The sequence below is a fragment of the Homo sapiens genome, chromosome 10 (assembly GCF_000001405.40).
Source record: "Homo sapiens chromosome 10, GRCh38.p14 Primary Assembly".
NCBI lineage: Eukaryota > Metazoa > Chordata > Mammalia > Primates > Hominidae > Homo > Homo sapiens.
Window position 1 is genome coordinate 9,455,587 of NC_000010.11, and position 24,822 is coordinate 9,480,408.

The following is a 24,822-nucleotide window of genomic DNA, read 5'->3' on the forward strand; positions in this document are numbered from 1 at the left end:
ATTATTGTGAATATTTGGAAGGCCTCTTTTTTCTTGGCTTTTTAGACACTCCAAGATCTAATTCAATTTCAAGATTCAATCCAAGATGTACAAAACAAAACAAAGAAATTCTGAATTTATATTGGAGCTATGAAATATTATGCAGAAGCCCTTGTTTCTGTACAGTGTAATAATCAATCAATTCCTTCCTAAAGCAGAGGCAACTAACTGCATTTTTCTTTGCAGAAATATGGCATCCTCAATCTGATATTAGAGATTCAGAAACTATAGTTCCATGAATTTGAGTGTCTCACCCAATGTCAATAACTCCTTAGATCAAGTCTGGATAACTAATGTCTTTCCCAATTGTATTTCATAATTTTATTGTCATTTTTTGTAGCTATTAATTTCAGTGATCCATCATTAATATAATTATATTTGAGAATGTAAAAATGTTATATCACTTTACCTGGAGAGCTCTTTAATTTCTTCCAGCTTAAATACTGCCAAAATAATAAATCGGGAATATGAAATACTATTTACTTAAATGGTCTCATGTATATTGTGCTGGGATACACAATATAAAAACATCGCTTGCAGCTGCCACTGAATACACAGGTGATCACATGAATTAGATCTTGGTAGAAACATTTGTTTGGAAGTGCTGTGTGTAGGAAGCTGAGAAGTCAAGGGGAAGAAAGTTCTGTTCTTTTTTGCTTTACTCCCAGACTGCTTCTGCCCTTAGCAGTGCCTCTGTTCATCAGCACCAGTGAGTTCACAAACCAGTTCTTTCAATAGAAAAATCATCAATCATAAAAACAAGCAAGAGCCCCTCAAATGCTTGTCACTGTCTTACCTTCTGCTATCGTGGGAGAGAACCGACTCCACTTAGAGATGCAATAATCAGCAACTTTCCTTTGTGGAGCAGATGGTGTTGACAGAGCTTGTTCACAATGGTTGGGTATCACTGCAAATTAAGAACAGAGTCCTTTCTATCTGTTATGCTGCTTTTTGTTTATTTGTTTGTTTGTTTTTTATTTTACCGTGAGTTCTCTATTATGTTGCAGGCATGAAACTGAACAGCAATTATAGTTCATTTGTGCTCACAGAATGCTATAATAGAATGCTAGTGTTCTAGATACGAAATTCCATGCTTTACAGAAAATAGACTTAAACTCTAGAATAGTGCCACTTTTTTACTGATTATATTCAAGGGCTCCGCTTTTCCAATAGGAGAGTTTTTTTTTCAGTTAACTGAGGCTTATTCTTTTAAAAATAATACTAAATCTACTCTTATTTTAAATAAAATATTCCTAAAGTATTACAACACTCCTGGAATTAACAAATGAAATGTATAATGTATTGTGAGTTGGGGTTTAAGTCATGAACAGGTAACATTTTACTAGTTTGAAAATCATGATGTCCTTTGGGGCTACACAGATGTATGAGCTGTTCCTGTCAATTCCTAATGTTCCTAGATTGGTATACATGTTTAGTTGTTTAATTTGCTTTTTTTTTAGTGTATCAATATGTAATTGACATACTACAAACTACATATATTTAAAGGGAACAATTCAATAAGTTTGACCCACCATATACTGTTGTGAAACCATCAGCATGATCATGAAAATGAAATCAATCACCCTGAACAGTTTCGTCATGCCCTCCTGCCTTTCTTTCTCAAACAACCACCCATCCCCAGACAACCAGTGATCCACTTTTCCCTACTATAGATGAGTTTGTAGTTCTTAAAAAAATATAGAAATTGAACCATGCAGCATGTATATGTTTTAGTCTGGCTTATTTAGCACAATTATTTCAAGATTCATCCACATTGTAGAGCATGTCTGCTATTTATGCATTTTAATTGCTGAGTATTCCATTGTATTAGCTTTGTGCAAAAATAATTGTGGTTTTTGATCATTTGTGTATGTCTTTTTGTGAACATAAGCTTTTATTTCTCTTGGGTAAATATGCAGAAATGGAATGAATATGATTGATATATTTGCGAGATATCATAAAACCATTTGATATTTTCTAAATATTTTTTCATATTCTACTTAATTTAGAGGCTGGCTACTAAAATTATTTGCTTTTACCATCATTGTATTTTGGCTTTAATATTTAAGTAGTGATTAGAATTTAAGTTGAACTGTAGGAATTTAAAATATTTGTAAATATCTCCTGCTATATTCAAGACAAATATGTGCAAAATTATCTTAATTTGTCAAAATTTTTATTTCAAATTACTTTGACTTAGAATCTACAAAATTTCCAATATATATTTTAAATACATTTTAAAATTTAAGGCATTTATTTTAGAATGATGAATTCAAAATCAACCTAGTTTAAATCTATAAACACATTTCATTTGAGAGAACTCAGTATGTGATCTTTAGGTGATGAAATTATAGATACCATTCTTACAATAGCTCTATGATTCTTTGTTTGCATAAAAGTAATTTCAAAAAGAAACTGACTCTAAGGGATATAAAGAAATACTAGTGAACTTTCCCCTAACAGTTCACAATCATTTTGAGGTATTGTTCTTAAATATATTAACAATAATTATTAGTTTGATCAAAAAATATCTCATAGTGGATCCACTGAGGATTCCTTAATATTCTTTACTTTTATGTAAAGCATTTGGCAAAATTTATTTGGATTATAATCAAGATTTAGAGTCTGAAGTTTTAAGCTGACAGAGACTCCAGAGTTCATTTAGTCTAGTCTCTTCATTTTACAAATGATTATGGTAAAGGGGCTCAAAATCAAATGATTAATTGGTAGCAGTTTGTTTTCACACATGGCACATGGTGTTTGGCATTGAAAACTTGTGTTCTGATCGCATATTCTCTTTGAACTCTGTTTTTCTCACATATAAAGTAGGTGATGGGGGGTATGTATGTTCATATCCCTTTTGGCTTTAAAATCTGTAAGACTCAAGAGAGTAAAGTACCTTATTATATTTTCTGGTCTTTGATGAATTTTCATATATGAGAATGATAATCCCTTTGTATAACTGTGAGATAACTTAATATTTTATAAATCCACCAGATATTTAATAGGTAGTTAAAATATGAAAGGCATTATGTTAGATACTAAGAACCATTTCACAGCATTCTGAAATCATATTGAATCAAATAACTTTTATAATATCATTAATATTATTTTTTTCAATTTAGCATCTGGACCTCTATCTGAATGAGCATTTACATAAAGCATGATATACAAACCTTAAAAATGTGGGGCTGCCCTTCTGAATCAACTGTGATATTTGTTCTTTCAGTTTCCCTGTTGCTCCTGTGGCTTTCCTTGAGTCATCTGCAGAGAATCTTTCCCTGGAATACATTGGATGCAGTTGTATCTTATGCATTGGTTTTATGACAAGGGGATCTGTGGTCAAAACAAGATAAGAAATTTCACCATGGAAAAGGAGGTGGGACAAGAGCTCTGTTCTCTTCATTGATTTCAAATCCTGTAAATATTTTATTAAATTATACCACTCTCAGGACAATCTTCGTATCTCACAGCTTTTGACAATGAGATAGATTTTTTAGCATGTATATTCTTTACATAATTCATTATATTTTGTAGGATTTTTAAGCCATGAAAGAAACTAAGTGAGTTAAAAATCTGTATGTAAAATAATTTTGCATAATATTCATTGGTGTGCAGAATCTCTGCTTTGGTGTTAAACCTACAACACCATTATAAAATAATACATCTTTTGAAACAGTCTCATCTAGCCTACTGAAGATAACTTTGCCTATAGAGTTGAAAAATTAATACATAAATGACCTTTAACACAAATAATGTTCAACTGATTCCACTTTCATGAACAATTCAGCTATTTATTCCACGGGACTTGTTCATGATTAAAGAAATTCAATTCTAATATCGGAACAGAAATCTTGTCACACAACTTCTACCCATTCTTTTCATGGGTTACACATATTCTCCCAAGTGATATCCTAATGGCACATGTAAAATATAGAAAACAGAGACTCTATAATTGTTATTGAGAGATGATTATTTAAATTTATGCCAAACATTTTAAATCTGAGAGTTACCAAGCCATTTATATTTTCATATGTTTCATCTGTATCTGAGATAACTCAAAACCAGTTATGAAAATATATGTCCTAAGGAACAGCCTCCAATAAGCATTTCTCTTCCACTCTGAGGTGATACAGAATGGTCCGAGAGAATGGTATTTTCCTTAAGAAAGAAATAGAAAAATGTTCTAACCATTAAGTGGTTTTTCATATTCTTTAATAACAAACAAAACAAAACAAATGATGCTCATTTTCGAAACAGAGTATAATACACATACAATAAGTCGAATAAAACTATAGCTACAGCTTAATGAATTATCCCAAAGTAGTCATTCATATAACCATCACCAAGATCAAGAAGAAAATACAGATTTTTGCCACCACTCCAAAGAATTCTTTCTATTGTCTCCTTCCCATCTCTATGCCCTGCTGTGAATAAAAGTAATCACTACCCTGGGTTAGCGCAGTGACACGGCTCATGCCTGTAATCCCAGCACTTTGGGAAGCTGAAGCAGGTGGATCACTTGAGGTCAGGAGTTTGAGACCACCCTGGGCAACATAGTGAAACCCCATCTCTACTAAAAATACAAAAATTTGCCGGGCATGGTGGCGGGCACCAGTAATCCTAGCTACTCAGGAGGCTGAGACAGGAGAATTACTTGAACCCAGGAGGCAGAGGTTACAGTGAGCCAAGATTGTGCAACTGCCCTCCAACCTAGGTGATGGAGCAAGACCCTGTCTCAAAAAAAATAAAGAAAAAAAAGTAACCACTAACCTGACTTTTATGGTAGCTACCTCATTGCTTTCTCTCTTCTCAAGGTTTTTAGTTTTACTATATACACATGTGTCTCTTCACACTACAATTTAATAATGTCTGTTTTATCTTTGTATAAATGGGACCATTCTGTGTATTATATTCTCTATTACTTCTTCCACTCAACATTATGTTTGTGGAACCAACCACATTTTTGGATGTAGCATATTTCATTCAGTCTTCAAATCTGTATATTATTATACTGCTGAATCAAGCATGATATATTTGACAGGGTACTAGGTTTGTTTCTCATTGTTAGCTGTTATGAGAGATGCATCATAAACATTCTTGTGTGTGTGCCCTTGGGGCACATGCCCATGTATTTCTTTTAGATATGACCCAGGAATAGAATTGATGATTATAAGCTAATGCAGATTTCATCATAGGTAGACAATGCCTAATCATTTTCCCAAGTTGATGCACATTAAGTATGCATGTTCTCATTTATGCACATTCTGGCTAAACACAACGCTTGTTTGTCTTATACTTAGACATCCTGTTGTGTATATAGTCATATATCATTCTGGAGTAAATTTGCAATTACATAATGCCTAATGAACATAAGCACCATTTTGTCTTTATTGGCCATTTTATTAGCCTCTTTTGCAAGGTATCCATTCTAATTTCAGTAAACTTCCTACGAGATTATTTTTCTGCATGTTATTGACTGGAAGCATCTCTTCATATTATGGACATGAGTATTTGTCAAGTATTTATAAGGCATATAAATAATTCCAGCAAAACTGTAACATGTTCTTAACATGTTCTTTTATTCCTTTAATAGTGTCTTACTAATTTTTAATTTCTCCAGATTTTCAATCTTTTCTTCTATGGTCAGTTCTTCTTGCATTCTATTTAATGTACCTTTCTACATCTCCTATGTTCTCTTCTAAAGTTCTGTTTTTATGCTTGCATGTCTAGATTTTTAACTCTAGAGTGAAAGTTCCTGTATGATGTGATACAGGAAATAATTTTGTTAATTTCTATTTGGGTGTCAATTTTCTATAGAATCACTGATTGAAAATACCACCCATTTTTGACTACTCTGCTTGGTGAATTTTGATTGTTTGTGAGTATGAGTTTTGGTGTCTTTATTCTTTCATTTTCAAATTTATATTTTATTCTTTATACCGTATCACAAACTCTCAATTAATATAGTATAGTTTTTTTAAAATCCTCATATTTTTTGTCTTAAATTCAAAAGTGTCTTGACCATTTTTGGCATGTTCTTCTTCTATATAAAGTTTAGATTGATCATGTCACTTTCCACAAAAACCTAATTGGAGTTTATTAAGATAACATTAAATAAATATGTAATTTGGAAATACTTAACTTTTTTTGAGACAGAATCTTGCCCTGTCACCCATGCTGAAGTATAGTGGAATGATCACCCAAGTACATTTTTTATAGAGACAGGGTCTCACATGTTGCTCAGGCTGGTCTTGAACTCATGGCCTCAAGTGATCCTCCCACCTCAGCCTCCCAAAGTGCTAGGATTACAGATGTGCACCACTGTGTCCAGCTAAATTGACATTTTATAATATTGAGTCTTCCAATCCACACACATGAAACATTCCTCTATTTTAATCTTTAATTTTTCTCAAAAAAGTTTTGTAATTATCTGCATAGATGTTTTGCCCATATTTGGTTACATTTATACATTGATATTTGACATTTCTGACTTAATTTTTAAATTTATTTCATTTTATTTTTACTCTGTTTTAACTGCTAATCTAGTAAATATGTAAAAATAGTGACCTTATATTCAGCGTAATTGCTACACTTATTAATTATAACTTATGTATTAATTTCTGAATTTTATGTTAATACAAAGATTTTTAATATTGCCTTCCTAATTCTTACAATTTGAATCAATGTCTAATAGCAGCGACTGAGACCTCTGGTTCAGTCTTGAGTAGCTGTAGTGTTAACGTTCTTTTTTGTCTTATTTTTTTTCTCAAAATGAGTTTTCAATATGTCCATCTCAATTATGCTGCTCGCAGAAAGCTTTTTACATTTAACTTTTATTAAGATTTATTAATAAAGTCCCACAGTTATCCTGGTTTGCAAAGAGTTTCTATTTTGATTGGATCTTGAATTTATCTTGGCCTCTATTGACTGGATCATATATTTTTATCACTTTTTCTGATGATGTAGTGGTTACTTCACCTGATTTTTTTTAAAAAATACTAAATCAAACATCTAAGGATTCCTCTAATAAAGTCTCTTTTGCTTAAATACACTAATATTTTTATAAATAAATAATTTATTTATTTTTAAATATTTTGTATTGGAGCTTTGCTTTTATTTTCATGAGGAGATTAGCCTGGGATTTTCCAGTTCATATGTCCTTTTCAGGCTTTGGTATTCCTGTTGTGTTGAATTCATAAATGAGTTGTGTGTGTGTGTATATATATATCTACCTACCTATTTATTTATCCATCCATCCATCTATCTATTTATATTTGGAGAGATGAGTGCAGTAGGCAGAATAATGGCTCCCTAATAGTGTCCATGCTCTAATCCTTGGAACCTCTGACTAATGTTACTTTGTAAGGAAAGGGTGACTTTGAAGATGTGATCAAGGTTGAGGACCATGAAATGAGAGAAGTCAGCCAAGATTATTCAGGTGAATTTAATATGACTACATAAATCCTCAAAAGTAAAGAACCTATACTAACCGCAAAGAGTAAGAAAGATGGGAGCACAGGTGGAAGGAGACACGTCTTTGCTGGTTTTAAAGATGGAAGAAAGTGACATCAGCCAGGCAATATGGGCAGGCTCTTACAGCTGAGAAGGGCAAGGAAGTATGTTCCTACCTAGGGCCTCAGGGAAGAAACTTAGCCCTGCTTGATTTTTAACTCATGAGGCATGCATCAGAATTCTGACCCACAGAACAGTAAGACAATACATTTATGCTGTTTAAAGACACTGAATTTGTGATAATTTTTATGGCAGCAATGGAAAACTAATACAATAGGCATTACTTTAAAAATATATATTAGCTAGGATTCACTAATGAGAATGGGTCTGAAATTTTCTTTGCAGAAAGTTCCATAATGATTTATTAAATTTACGTTATAGACACAGAATTCTTTAGATTTTCTGCTTCAATGGATGTGAATCTTGGAAATTTATATTTTTGTGATTCTTAGTGTATTTCATCCACATTTAAAAATTGATTGATACAAAGCTAATCGTAATGTATTCTTATGGTCTTCTACATTTCTATGGCATCTATTTATATCTTTACTTCATTGTTAATATTAAAGTCACTAAAGAAATTTCCAAAAATTTGTTTCACTTTTAATTTTTAAAATGATCCAAAACATATTTTAAAATTATTATTGTCAAGCTATAATTTATCTCAATGTTGGTAAGTATAACTTACCTACTTGCTATCTATCTGCTATAATACACATAATATGTTAATATAATAGCAAAGATTATGTGACTTCAACATTTTTAAACACAGTAACAAATTCTTAAAATATCTGATCTTCTCAATATAGACCAAAACACTATTTAATATTCACATATATTCATGGTAATGATCCTTAGCAAACAAGAACTAGAGGAAAAATGATTTGATCTGATGAGTGTACATAATTTGTAAAATGTTGAAAACATTCCTTTTAAGATTGAGAAGTAAACAAAGATATTCATGACCACCACTTTAATTCAATATTATACTGATGGTCCCAGCAAGAGAACTAACATAAGAAAATAAATAAATAAATAACATAGTAAGTGTAGTGAAATTAAAATGGGCATTATTCACAGATAATATAATTGTAAATATAAGACACTTCGAAATGACAAATAAATGTTGAGGAAATTTTGCAAGGTAGTTTGATACAGAAAAAAATCAATTTTAAAAAAACACTATATCAAATCAAATTAATTTTTAATAAAATTTAAGTGAAATTTGAAATATACCATTAAAACATTAACAAAAGGGGTTGGGGGAGAAAGGGACCAATAGGCAGAGCACAAAGGATTTTTTAGGGCAGTGGAACTAGTCTATATGACACTATGATGGGGTATACATGTAATGACATATTTGTCAAAACCCAGAGAATATACAATACCTAGAGTGAACCCTAATTTGAACCATGAACACTGGGTGATAATGATGTGTCAATGTACATTTATCAATTAAAACAAACGGGCCATTCTGCTGGGGGTATTTATAATGGAAGAGGCTATGCATGTGCTTAGGCAGCAAGGATATGGGAAATCTCTGTACCTCCATCTCAATTTTGCTGTAAAACTAGACCTGCTCTTAAAAATGAAAATATTAAAAATTAACATAAGTGCAAAATATCTACAAAGCAATTTAAAAAACATTATAATTTTTTTAAAAATCTAAATAAATAGAAAAATATATACTGTTTTCATGACTTTGAAGGCCTGGAATTGGTAAATAAGAATCAGACTAACATTGATATGTAATTTCAATATATTTCTATCATGTTTGGTCTATGTATATGTACAACAAATTTGAGTAGTGATGTAGAAAATATAATGAATAAAGAATCACTAAGCCATTCTTAAAGAAGACAACATGGGATATAGATATAAAGGCTTACCTAAAGCCATATAAAGATATTGCGGTTTTAATGCAAGGATAGAAAAATAGACAAATTTTTAAGGGGCTATTTACAGATGCATATATAAATGGATCATTGATTTATGAAGAAAAAGCACAGCAGATGTGAGGAAAGAATGGTTATTGCAGTAAATGGTGTTGCATGGCCATTTGGCAATCCATACAAGAACACTGTGAGAGAAAAAAATTCCTTTCGTTCATGCCATACACTAAGTCAATTTCAGATTAATTTTTCATTAAAGTGTGAAAGGTAATCATGAGCTTGAAAAGTTAATAAAAACAAAACTGAGGCCAGGCATGGTGGCTCATGCCTGTAATCCCAGCACTTTGGGAGGCTGAGGCGGGTGGATCACAAGGTCAGGAGATCAAGACCATCCTGGCTAACACGGTGAAAACCCGTCTCTACTAAAAATACAAAAAATTAGCCGGGTGTGGTGGCGGGCGCCTGTAGTCCCAGCTACTCGGGAGGCTGAGGCAGGAAAATGGTGTGAATCCGGGAAGTGGAGCTTGCAGTGAGCTGAGATCGCGCCACTGCACTCCAGGCTGGGCGACAGAGCGAGACTCCATCAATTAAAAAAAAAAAAAAAAGAAAGCAAAAGTGAGAGATGAAACATTATACTAGTATCAGACAAAGTAGACTTTAAGACAAAAAAGTGTCAATTCAGAAGTCATAAAATTATAAATATATATGCATGTAGCATTATATCCCCAAAATACATGAAGTAAAAACTGACAAATTTGATGGGAAAACTCATGCTGCTAAGGAAACATCTATAAAAACCCACATCTATCACTATACTTCAAGGTTAAAGACTAAAACATTTCCCCTAAGAAAGAACAAGATGAGAAAGAGGACAAGAGTGCCTGCTCTGACTACTTCTATTCAATATTGTACTGGAGGCTCTAGCAACTGGCAATTCAGCAAGAAAAAGAAATAAAGGGTACCCAGATTAGAAATGAAAAAGTTTACTTATCTCTATTTACAGATGACACAATTTTACATTCAGAAAGCCCTAAAGAATCCACATATAACAACTTAGAACTAAAAAACAAAGTTCAGCAAGGTTGCACAATACATGATTAAAAGGCAACTGTAAGCTATATTTCTCTATATTAGAATTCGCAATTATAAATTGAAGTTAATGAATTACTTTCATTTGCAATAGCATCAAAAAGAACTAAATACTTATGAATAACCTAACAAAATAATGCAAGACTTGTACTCCAAACATCTAAATGTTATAAAAAAAAAGATAACTGAAAGAAATTATAGGAGCCCATGATGGAATGGACTCCTATAATGGAGGGATGGATGGATGGAAAAAACATCCCATATTCATGAATTGAAAGATTTAATATTGTTAAGATGGTAATATTCCACAAATTGGTCTACAGATCATTTTCAATGTCACACTCACCAAAAATCTTAGCTACCCATTTTCTCACAAATTGACCAGCTGATCTAAAAACTTATATGAAGATTCAAGGAATCTAGAATAATCAAAAGAAACTCGATGTATAAGAATAGTCAGAAATTTCACACTTTATGATTTCAAAAGTTATAACAAAGAAGCAGTAATCAAGACAGTGTGGTACTGGCATAAGAATCAATATAAGAATCAATAAAATAGAATTGAGATTCCAGAAATAAACTCTTATATTTATTGCTAATTAATTTTTGACAAGTGTGCCAAAATAATCCAATAGGAAAATAAAAACCTTCTCAATAAATGATTATTAGACAATTGAATATTTATATGCAAAAGAATAAAGTTGGGCCCTTACCCACACCATATAGAACAATTAATTCAAAATGGATTAAAGACAATGTGAGAGCTAAAAATATAAAGTTTATAGAAGGAAATATAGGTCTAAGTCTTCATGACCTTGAATTAGGCAATTGTTTCTTTGACATGCAACAAAATAAAAAATAAATAAATTGTACTTCACAGATATTAAAAACTTCCATGTTTCAAAGACCACCATCAAGAAAAAGAAAAGAAAACCTACAGAAGAAAATATTTGTAAGTTACATATCTGAAAAAGTTTATATCCATAATATATAAAGAACTCTTATAGCTCAACAATAAAAGACAACCCAATAAAAATTGGCAAAGGATTTCAATTGATATTTCTCTATAGAAGATATGTAAATGGCAAATAAATACAAAAACAAATGTTACACATGATTAACACTAGGAACATGTAAATCCAAATCACAATGAGATACCACTTCACACCCATTAGAATGGCTCTAGTGAAAAATACAGACAACAACAAGTGTTGACAGATATATGGAGAAAATGGAACTCATATATTACTATGGGAATGAAAAATTGTGTGGCCCCTTGGGTAAATGGTTTTGCGGTTTCTCAAAAAGTTAAAACATAGCAGTACCACACGACACAGTATTTCACCTTCTATATATATCCCTGAGAGAAGTGATAATATTGGCCACACAAATGTTCTTAGCAGCATCATTCATAAATCCAAAGGTGAAAACAATCCAGATGCTCATCAATGGATAAATGGATAAATTAATAAACACAATTTGGCATATCCATAAAACTGAATATAATTCAACCACCAACAGAAATGAAGTAGTGATACATACTACAACATGGATGAAACTTGGAAACATTATGCTAAATGAAAGAATCAAAGCACAGAAATCCACATCTTGAATCCTTCCATTAATATTAGTTTCCCAGAATAGGCAAATCTATAGAGACAGAAAGTAGATAAGTGGTTTCCAGGGGTTGGGGTGGGGGTGGGAAGGAGGAAAGAAAGGAGAGTAACTGCTAATATGTATGAAATTTCTTTCTGAGGTGATGAAACATTCTAAAATAAGATAGTGGTAATGTTTTTAAAATCTTGTAAATATACTAAAACCAACTAAGTTTTACACTTTAAAAAATAAATTTTATGCTAAGTTAATTATATTTCAATTTTAAAATAAAAGTCTTTGGGATTTCACAGAGGGAAAGTTTTTGTTTGTTTATTAATAATGCATACAAAGCACTATTCAGACAGGTAAAGAACAGTGAAATGGACTAAATAAAGGTAAGAACGCCTGTTCATCAAACACTAAGTACACGTTCAGTGTGGTTAGCCTATTTATTTGAATTACAAATTAACTTAATATGTTCCAATTTTCTTTTATTTTAATATTCGGTTAAGCTATAAACTCATTGAGGTTGTTTATTTAATTTTGCTTTAGTTTTGCTTCCTCAAGTCTCTGTAAGAAATAATAATTGAAAGCTAAAATTTGTGAAATAATAATCATTTCATTAACAGTAGCTTATGTTTTTGAGCAATTCTTCTTTCCAAAGCTTTCTGAGCTTCTATGTCCATTTTAGACATGAGAGAAATGAAATCTAAAACTTAAAGTAGCTTTCCACATTCACAGAGTCTGTTAAGTGGCAGTCAAGATTTAAATCTCAGTTGTCTCATACTTCAGTCTGTTCTTTTAACTACTCTGCTAAAATTTGATGAGTTAGAATTGATTAGGATTCTGTACTCCTTATGGTAGAAAAATAAAATGAAAAAAGCTAAAATAGGAAAATTGATTTGTACCCTGATGGGATTTAATTTGACATGCTCTAAGCATTTGCATGATGGTAGACTTGACTGTTTATGTATATACATGTGTGAATGTGAATGGCTATAAATATAGAAGTAGAAGGCCTCTTTCTCCCTTTTGGTTTTGGTCATGTGGCTTTGCTCTAAAACCAGGTAAAACATTGGCAATATGCAGTATAGCTTAGTATTAGCAACTAGAAATCACTTGGTAAAAATGAGTGGATCAATGACAATATTCACACACTAAATATCTGTTTACAATTCACATGCAGTGTGTACTGACCACACATTGATTTTTCCTAATACATTTTGAACAAATATAAGTGAATTCCTATTTGAATATATACATATAAAATAAAATATGAAGGCCCTTGATAGCATACGAGGTGCAAATTTTTTTAAGTGGAGTATTTTATGTTTGAATATAGAACTAAAGTAGAAGTTTCAGGGTTAGTTTTTTAAAAAAGTAAAATTTTAACTGAAAGTCAGCCATTTTCTTTAAAAACATTTCAGTTTTTAAGAGATTCAATTGTTTTTGAATTAGCTGATGAAAAATGCCATGCAAATCGAAGTATCATTAGCACTGCAATTTTTGTTTACTCTCATTATTCTGCTTTAACTCTCATATTATATAATCCTGAATATGTTACTTAAATATAGGTGACCTTGTGGAAAATTCAGTATCAGGTTTTATATCAAGGGTTCAATGTTGTGGGTATTGCTTTTAGTAGAGAAATCAACTCCTGTGGAAAAATTTAAAAAAAAAAAAAAAAAGGATGAGTATTCTCAGTCATTCTTTGCCTTTCTCAAACTTCTTTCCCTAAGGCAAAGTGTGAACCACACTTTCAGCTCTAAGAGCTATTACTAATTCATAGTACTTCCATTTACTCTTTTAACCAAGGATTGATAGTAATGCTGCTAATGAAATGTCCTGACCAGCTGTGGCTCAATTACTTGACATCGCTTCTATTTACCTAGCCAGCTTCCGAAAGAACACCAAGAAATAGTCATCATTCCAGCAGTTACCCTTAGGACTCTATACTATATTTCTAAGTTAGGATGGCCAATGTGTCAGCATAGAGACCTGGTGATTTCATTTAATAAAGGAAATCAGCTTTAAATATGGGTGGACATTTTTTTCTGTTTGCACCAAGCTCTTAATGTTTCACAAGTGCTGTAGTGTGCTAGATACTTAATTATTCCAAATTTCAAGTTATTATCTATGAAGTATATAAGTCTGATTTATTATCTGCTTCCTACATTTTTATGAGGCTTGTTAGCAGAACTCCATTATATCTGACTGACTCCCTGATGTCAAGAAGCCATTCTTGTGAAAATATTTAACATAAAAATGAGCCAACAAATCATGGAAATGGCTCTGCTAAACAGGAAAAACAGGGTGAGATGTAAAATATTGTTTAGGACATAATTGCAAATATTATGTCAATTTTAAAGCAACTATGTAAACACCCTATAAAGGAGCTACTTATGATGAAAGCAATATTCTCCAGCTCCTTGGTATCTCATTTCCAGCTAATTTTTCCTTTCTTGGCTCCCACCAGCGTTTCGATGATGAGTTCATTGGATTAAGGACATTACATGGCCAGTTTAAGACCATGTGGTAATTCCAAAGAAAGATATGATATGACTCTGCCTAAAGTCCCCTTAAGCAAAAGAATTAAAGTCATGAAGAACGTCCCATCAACCACTTTTGATATAAGTTTCAACCATGGCTAGGTAAATGAGCATTCCTAGGATAAAAAGCCTTCAGAGTAGACTTCTTTATCATTTTTATTTTTCCTTTCATATTTCCTGAGATAATCCACCATTGTATTGCATAAGGTAGTGATAATAGTAATAATGATAGTACAATAAGAATAAGAGTAATGCTGACGTATTTTTTAAGATTCCAAAAGAATGGAGGAAATACATTCTGAATTAGCATAATATTCTTGCAGTTTTCTGAAAATGTATACATTAGAAAAGCAGTTTGGTGTCTCCTATGACTGTTTAACACAAACTTATCTATCCCTTTGTTTTTAATTAGCACGACTCATATTAGAGTCTTGGATAAGGGCCTAGATAATTTGTTCATAGTAGCTTTTAGGTTGCCATATGGGTAAAACTGAATAAGGGTGAAAATTCACAAGTGGATAATACAGGCAAACAGCTGCTCTCTTTCTCCACAACAGAATGGGGGCTATTTAAGGAGGGAATATTTTATGGTTAAAAAAAAAATCCTAGGGAAGGAAAAAAAATAAATTTTCTTGGACATTTAAATTTTAAATCTTCTTCAAAAAATATTTCTAGCTTAGTTTCAATGCACAAGTACTGCAAAATTCCCTTATTGAGAAAACCAAGTATGACCTTTTCAGAGCATCTACCTCTTTTTGTCTTCTCATAACACAATGCAAGAGCTTTAACTTTAATCCAATATTTGAGATACAATGAATGAGGGAACTAAAAGAGAAAACAGGGCACTGTATTTTAGGGTATGACTCACTTCTCAAATTTTCAAATATAGGTGTGAGTGTTTTTAAAAAAATTACCTCCTAGTTGAATGCAAATCTCAGAGAATGTACTATCACTCACCAACCACCGAGCTACAGATAGCAGGGCCACATGCAATCTCTTTTGAACTATTTTAAACTTAAAAGAAAGAATAAACCCTGTAGAATTATACCAGTGTTGACCTAGTTTTACATGCAGGCTATTCTATTTTGAAAATAGAAACTTTGATGTAAGAATGATAGTGTCATTCATACTATATACCTTCTGTGAGAGACCTTGGAGCAGAGGTTATGTGAAAGTTATGACCCAGTCATGGGCAAAACTAAAATGAAATGCATGTTAACTGTTAAAGCTAGGATTTAGCTGAACTTTCACTTGTGGGAAAAGCTTTTCAAATTGTCTGATGACAGGAATAGGGAACACAACCCCCTCTTCTTTTAATAGATACAGCATGGATGAAGCTAGGTTGCGTGTTCTCGAAGTGTTAGTAGATTCGTCAAGGGATGAACTTCTGACTTTGTGTCATTTAAGACAAAAAAATTATTTAAATAGATTTCTGTTCAATAAATATATTTCTTTGTTCATAAAATGTACATCATACATATTTTACTCACATTTAATTTTATCTTAGGGAAATATATATGTACCAATAATTTCCCCCAGATTACCAAACATTTTAATGCATGTAATAATGAACAACTAATAAAAAAAAGTCAATAGAAAATCAATGGTTAGTTATAAGGGATATAGTTTTAGACTGTAAAACATCAGATTGTTTTCAATGTGTAAAGCCAAGAGCTTAAATCTAGAATACATGTAGACAGATCACTTCCCAATTATTTGGGAGGGAGAAGGGTGGTGTGCTGAGAAATGCAAGGATAGACTGGATCTGTTAGTCTACGTTCCTTTAAGACACATTTTAACTTCACGAAATTAAAATGTGTGGTTATCTCTACATAAATTTCTCATCTTAGTGAGTTATGTTAATCAATGTTTTGAGAAAGCACTAATTACATAAAATAAACAACTATACTTTTTGTATCATTTGAAATTTAGTTACTACCCTGTTCACTGGGTACTTATTTTACATGACATTGTAGAATAGCATTGTGTACCCTACGGTTTTTCCTTCTAACATTTCTTTCCATCTCTTTCTTCCTTTGCAATAGGTTTCCAGATGCCATATGCTTAACTGATTGATCTTAATGTAGCCTGGTGATCACATTCTCTCTGGAGGTGATTGATTTACCATGGAATGTGGCCCTATCTGGCAATAAGTCATGAATGCTAAGAATGTGGCTGGTGCTGGAAAAGGTATCCTCACCAATTAAAAGAAAGAAGATAAGGCCTGTCTTTTTTTCTGCTCAGTATTAATATATCTGCATTTCCACCTAGAATTTTGGCAGCTATCTTTCAAACAGGAGGAAGTTAGCAAAAGGCAGTCAACAACACCGATCATGGACAATGTAAAATGAAAGAGATGTGGCTTCCTGTGATGGCACTGAACAATTGAATTAACCAGCCCTGTAGGCACTCTGCCTCAGCTCCTTTTAAGTATAAAAATAAGTCCTTCCACTATTGAAACAGTTTACATCTAGAATTTCTATTATTTCAAATTAAGGCATCATAAGTTATTAACAGTGATTTTAGCAGCCTAGCCATAAACACATTACAATGATTACTTCTGGATGATATCCAGATGGCAAATACACATATAAAAAGATACTCCATACCATATGTCATTAGGAAAATGCAAGTTTAAATAAGGAGACCCCAGTACACGCCCAACAGAATGGTCAAAATCCAGAACACTGACAACACCAACTGCTGGTGTGGATATGGAGCAACAGAAAATCTCATTCATTGCTGGTGGAAAGGCTAAATGATATTGCCACTTTGGAAGACAGGTCAGTGCTTTCCTATAAAACTAAACATATTTTGTCATACAGTTCAGCAACCATGCTCCTTGTAATTTACCCAAAAAGAGTTGAAAACTTTCATCTACACAAAAACCTGAAGACAGATATTTACAGCATCTTTCTTCATAATTGCCAAAACTTGGGAGCAACCCAGATGTTCTTTGGTTGGTGAATGGATAAATAAACTGTGGTCCACCCAGACAATGGATGGATCTCTCCCTTCAGCTGATAACGTTAATCCAATATTTGAGACATAATGAGTAAGAAAATAAAATGAGAAAATGGTGCACTATATATTTTAGGGTATAAGTTACACATCTTAAAATTTCAAACATAGATAGGAGAGCTTTAAAATTACTTCTAGATAGGAATGTAAATCTCAGAGAGTATACCAAAGAAATGGGCTATCAAGCCATCAGAAGACATGGAGAAAACTTAACAGAGCAATATGTATTCAATGGGTAAGATAATGTAACATGTATTCAATGGGTAAGATACTAAGCGAAAAAAAAGCCAGTTTGAAAAGACTGCACACTGTATGATTCCAACTGTATGATTTCATACTGTATGATTCCAACACTCTGGAAAGGCAAAACTATGGAGAGAGTAAAAAGATCAGTGGTTTCCAGGGGGTAGGGAAAGGACAGGATGAACAGTTGGAACAAAGGATGTTTAGGATCGTAAAACTAGTCTGTAAGACACTATAATGGTAGATACATATCATGATACATTTGGTCAAATTCATGGCATCTACACCAGCAATACTGAGTCCTAATGTAAACTATAGACTCTAGGTGAAAATGATGTGCCAATGCAGGTTTATCAGTTGTGCAAATGCGACACTCTGGTGAAGGATGTTGACAGTGGGACAGGCTGTGCATACATAGGGAAAGAAGCATAAGGGAAATCTCTGTAGCTTCTGCCCCATTTTTCTGTGAACTTCTCTAGAAATAAAGTTTATTAAAAGACGAATACAAACAGTCCTCCATTTTTATGGTTTATACATCTGTCAATTCAACGAACCATGATCGAAAATATTCCAGAAACAAAGAATTAACAGGTACGGACTTTTTTTTCTTGTCATTATTCCCTAAAAATACAGTATTACTATTTACATAGCATTTACCTTGTACTATAAGTAATCTAGAGATGATTTCCAATATATGCAAGGATGTGCATAGGATCTATGCAATACTACAATATTTTATATAAGAGATTTGAGTGTCTGTGGATTTTGGTATCTGTAGTCCTGGAACAAATCCCCTATGGACACCAAGGGATGGCTGTACTGTATAATTTCACTTATATGAGGTATTTATAGTAGTAACATTCATAGAGACAGAAAATAGTGCAAAAGTCACCAGGGGGTGAGGGGAGGGGAGAATTAGGAGTTTATTGTTAAATGGGAAAAGAGTTTCAGTTTTTCAAGATAAAACGAGATAGGGAAATGGTTGCACAATAATGTGAATATACTTAGCATTACTGAACTGTGCACCTAAAATGGTTAAGATAAATTTGATGTTATGTGTATTTTACTACAATTAGAAATTATATATATATATAATTGTATTTATTTACATATATTGTAATTATATATAATTGTGTATATATGTAATTTGAAACATTACTTCTGTTCAGTTTTCTTCTGCATTTTAGGGGTAAGTACTCTCAAGCATACTACTTGTAAAAGCTGTGATTTTTGAATGGTTATGCTGGTAAAATTCCAATTTTTCTTTTATGTTAATTTTTATCCATGCACCTGCAGGCAGGCATAACATGGCCCTATAAGTAAAATAGGCCAGTTCTTAAGTCAAGAGTTTCTTAGAAAATGACTAATATTGTAGATTTCAGATGACGTATTTCTGCATGTTGGAGAGAGATTCCCATGATACAGCATTGTAAAATTACTGACCCAAAAATAATAAAAATGCCTTATTTTATATAAGGTGTCACAACAGCATGGTACTTTCTAAAAGGCAGAATCATACCATATGAATCTTCCATGTCTCCAATGGGTGTTTAGGCAGTACACTACAATAAGATGATTGAGGAGCAACTACATATACTGTTTTGCAGAACCTAGGGAGGCCTAGAAATACCAGCAGACTGAGATTTGAGAAGGTTTCAAATTGCCTGTGGGTAACAAAAGGTGCCTCAAAAGAGGAGGAGAGAAATTTAGTCTTTCAGGGAACAAAGTGAAAACATTTGCTATCATAAAAAGAAGTTAATAGGATTAGATTTAATATTTCTTTAAATGTAAATTTCACTCAAATGGTTACTTTATCACCTAAGTGTATTTTAATATGTTAAGCCAATTACTTTTTCTGGGCATTCAAGAGACGGTTAAATGCCTTTAATCACAATATGTTGGAGACAATTAAATGATGGTATATTCCAGATAACTCAGCATGTGCTTGCACTCAGAATACGTAATTTAGAATATAAAACCAAAACAAACAAAAAAAGCCTGTTTTACTCATGGGAATTTGAATATATACCCTATATTTATAACCTTGTAGTATATATTTGGTTCCAGTTTGAGCTTGCAGGTTTAATGATGCCTTGTAAAAAATAAATAAATAAATAAAGAGAGAAAAGAAAAAAAAAAAAAAGGAATACATCCAAATAGGCTGAGTACAATGGTTTAGGAGAGATAATTGAAATATAATGCATTCTTACACCTATTTCAGCTTGCGCATTAGTTCTTGGTCTATATCTATCATTTCTCAATTTCTCTCTCTCTCTCTCTCTCTTTCGCTTTCTCTATCTGTCTCTCTTGGTTTCTCTCTTCTTTCCTTAAATTCCACCAAAAGAAGCAGTTATATTATAACGTTATTTTTCTCACGATGACATGGAAATTATTTTTCTGTGCTTATTTTGATAACAAGTCAAGATTTTTTATTCACAGATGTCAAAATATATAAAATACACATTGCACCATCTGGACAAGGCTGCACACTTGTAATACACTATTTTGGGAAATAGTATGTCAGTCCTCTACGTTCTAAAGTTTCCTCTGTTTAAAATAAACCCTTGCCTTTGAATTAAGTTATGATGAAAATCTAAAACACCTAGACATTCTCAAGGCCTAGGCCTAGGTAATTTAGCTAGCATGCCTAAGTCAAATCACTTCTACCTAGCATGTAAGATGTTATCATCTTACTTTAGGGTTTTGGCTTAAAAGGTTTTATTTCTACATCAAGCTCAATTGATTCTCTGTCCTAAATTTTTCTAAGGCAGATTGCATAGATTGCAATGATGTCAGTCAAAGCTGATTGGGGTTTTTCTCCTTTAAAAATACCTGGACAGGTTTTAATAGAATTTTTATGTAATGTACATCCTAACTAAACCTCTTGTAAAGCATCAAAAACAACTTGGAAATTGTAAGCTCTTTTATATGTCTGTTGAGCATCTATTATGTATCACTGCAAAGTTCCATGAATGAGAAATACTAAAATATGGGATATAATCTCTGATCTCAGGCTGGGGCATCAAACACACAGGTAAACAACTGATAAAATACAATATGGCCAGTCAGTAGAGCATGGGAGTTAAAAGTAATGTTTTGACCTTGGCAGTCTTGGATTTGAGTTGAAGTTCTGATACTTATCTAGTCACCTAACCTGAGTTTATTTACTTTTTTTTAAAAAAAGCGACAAATATTTGTTGTAATTAAGAAGATGATAGGTATAAAATACTTAACACAGTATCAGCCACAGTATAGAACTCTATGCCCACCTCGTTATTAATACTATAAGCAGTATTATGATAAAGGCATGCGCAAAAGGCTATGGGGGAAGAGAATAGGATGTTAATGTTTCCCAATTTGGAAATATTAAATTACTAGAACTTTGGATGCGAGCAGGGAAGACTCTTCAGAGGAGGTAAGAGTAAAACTTTTCAGGAAAGACTCTTCAGGGGAGGTAACAGTAAGACTTTTCAACACCCCTGTTGCTTTGCGACTTGAGCAGCTCTAGACATTGCTAATTGTTCTCATTTCTAAGTTACTGTTATATAACAAAATGTATATAACAATTATTATATAACAAAATGTATACAACAGTTTTTGTTATGTACAAAAAAAACCTCACAAGCCTAGAAGTAACCATTAATTGTCTTTACTGAGTTATGAATGAAAGTTTAACCCTTACTGGGTCTTGGAGTCGTTTTACTCCCAGAGGTTATTTCCATGCTATTTTATAAATATATATTTCCTAGTAACTAAATATGATTTTATACTTAGTTTAGAAAACTGTATTTAGAAGTGTACAAACTGGAAATAATTCTCTGGAATGTGATAGCCTTCAGCATCCCTTTCTCAGGCAAAGGCCTTTAAATACATTTCAAAGAACACAAAACTTACGTGGATTGGATAGATTTATGATTATGTGTAATCCTCCTCAGTGGAATTTCTGTGGCATTAACTTCTTTGATGTAACTATCATTTCCATCTCTATCTTTCTCTAAATATGACTGAATGTTTTAATGCAAGTTTAAAAGCTACATTTTTAGGATAGACTTCAAATGAGAGGTACAAAAAATTATATTAAAACAGATTATTTTTAGCAGAATAGAGATGTGATAAAAAGAATAATTGTCTTGAAAAGGGAAGTCTTTAAAAGCACACTTATTAGTTTCCTACTGTTCCTGTAACACATTACTGCAAATTTAGTGGTTTAAAACAAAAATAATGTATTTTCTCACATATCTGAAGGTCATAAGTCTAAAACCCGGATGTTGGTAGGTCTGCATTACTTCCGGGGGTCCTTGATTCTCAAGCTTCTAGAGGCTGACTGCATTTCTTTTTTTTTTTTTTGAGACGGAGTCTCGCTCTGTCGCCCAGGCTGGAGTGCAGTGGCGGGATCTCGGCTCACTGCAAGCTCCGCCTCCCGGGTTCACGCCATTCTCCTGCCTCAGCCTCCCAAGTAGCTGGGACTACAGGCGCCCGCCACTACGCCCGGCTAATTTTTTGTATTTTTAGTAGAGACGGGGTTTCACCGTTTTAGCCGGGATGGCCTCGATCTCCTGACCTCGTGATCTGCCCGCCTCGGCCTCCCAAAGTGCTGGGATTACAGGCGTGAGCCACCGCGCCCGGCCGACTGCATTTCTTAGGAGTCCTCGTCCTCCATCTTTAAAGCGAGCAGCAGCATCTTCTCTTTTCTCCTACCTCTGCTTAAGTCCTTACATCTCTCTCTCTTTGACGTTGACCTTCCTGCCACACTCTTATGAAGACCCTTGTGATTACAGCAGGCCCACTCAGATAATATAAGATTATCTTCCCATTTCAAGAACCTTAGTCACATTTGCAAAGTATAAGTTACAATATTCACATGTTCAGGGATTAGGATTTGGACATCTTTAGGGGACCATCATTCACCCAACCCCAAGGGGTTTGGAATTTGATGAATCAAGCCAACTGGCATGCTGCCTCCCTGAGGACCCTGGCAGGAAAGAGATGACCACTCACAAAGGGTTACTGAGGAAAACTCCAAAAAGGACTGTTTATAAAGTTGTAAGCAATGCATAGAGTAGGAATGTAGTAAGTCTAAAATTAGCAACAGCTAACCTTAAAGTACCAAGGCAGGTACCTGGTTTTAATATCTGGAGTCAATAGCTCTAGAAAGGGGTCCCCCTCAGGAAGTTGTAGTCATTACTAAAGAAACAGTTTCATAATCCAATTTTTTTTGAGTGTCTAATGCAAAGCATATGTATATAAGGGTGCTTGCACCAATACACATTGAAAAATATTTATTTTGTAAGTCAAGTATGAGTGCTCTATCTACACTATATTTCCTATACATATTTGCATATTTTATATATATAGAGAGAGAGTACATAGGCCTGCAGCAATTATTTACTTATTTATTGTCTAATTGATAATACCTTGTACATTGCTAACTGCAGCACCCTAGGGACTTAATATATTGCATTTTTATATTAGTGACTAAGAACAAGAACATTCAATACTAAGCTAGATCCAACAACAACAAAAAAAAGGTTAAAGATATTTGCATTTTCCAAATGGGGATATATAAAAGAGCCCATGAATATACTGCAGAGTTCAAAATAATTTCATAATATTTATCAGCTAAAATATATCTTGAACCAAGCCATTCTTCCCAGGGCAATCGTGAGAAAATTATTTTTTATTCATTTGAGAAAGTATTCTCAATAGGGCAAATGAAGAATGACATCTACCATTGACATCAAATGCTAAAGAAATGATCAGTAGAGAATTCTATAAAGACAGATCAGTTTCTCCTTTGAGTATATCCAACTGATTAAGCTTATAAATTCAAGTGAATATTACTTTTGTTTCTGGAATATATCTGAATTCCAAATTAAAAACTACATCTCAAAGGTAGTAGATATATATTAAATAACCTACTTTCCATCCAAAGACAGGATGGTACTCAACAAAATTTCATGTGTAATGGTACTCCAATTTTGTTCGATTCTTTTAAAGTATTCTTGGATCATTTTGTCACTGAAGATGTTTGCCAACAATAGAATATAGCAAAATCAGGAGACACTCAAAAGACAGTTATTAATCACTTAATACCAACAATAATGAGTTATAACACTTTTTGAATATTTGCATTTTACTACTGATGAGACATTTTACTGATGGTTTTTATGTAGGAAAGTAGTACACAGGAAGAACACAAGAATGAAAAGCCTATGTGTTTAGCTACAAAATGTGAATTGAGTGTCACAGTTCATTATCACATTGTCCTATTTGAATACAAAATGAAATTATCGCTCATATTTTCCCTCTTTACTAAAATTTCTAAACAAATTAAAAGTAGTTGTAATAAAATGGTATCATTTGATCATCCAAATATTTTTGTTAAAACAAATAATTAGAGAAGATAATTTAAAAATTATAAACTAAATAGAAACTATAAGACATCTATGTTATTTTTCTATATTCCATGCTGTCAATATTCATGTACTTTATATTTTCGTAATTGGAAACAATCTGATTTTAGCAGCAATACTTTATTCTCAAAGTGAAGTTTTATGTACACATATTTTTTATTAAGTAGCCTTAAATGCTAGCTAACAACTGTTCATAATTCTTATGGTACAAGGGAAGAATGGTAGAAAAACCACTCGTCCTTCTTTGTCAGTCATCTCTCCTTTGGTAGCTATATGTTTGGCCTTTGATATATAACTACAAAGTTTCTAACCTGTAAAGTTGAAAGAAAAATATTTTTCAAACTTATTATGAGGCTTATAAAAAAAGCAGATGCTGGGTGCAGTGGCTCACACCTGTAATCCCTACACTTTGGGAGGCTGAGGCAGGCGGATCACCTGAGGTAAGGAGTTTGAGACCAGCCTGGC

The 24,822-nt window shown here is 32.9% G+C and overlaps 1 long non-coding RNA gene across 5 annotated transcripts in view; it reads right to left on the bottom strand.

Moving 5' to 3' along the window:
* The window catches only part of LINC02663 (long intergenic non-protein coding RNA 2663), a 434,814-nt gene that overhangs the window by 12,306 nt on the left and 397,686 nt on the right, over positions 1-24,822 (bottom strand). For all 5 annotated transcript variants that reach the window (XR_930643.2, XR_930644.2, XR_930645.3 and 2 more), the window contains 2 exons: positions 3,216-3,375; positions 836-946 (listed from right to left, as the gene is read on the bottom strand). This is a non-coding gene — a long non-coding RNA (long intergenic non-protein coding RNA 2663). The remainder of the gene's footprint in view (positions 1-835; positions 947-3,215; positions 3,376-24,822) is intronic.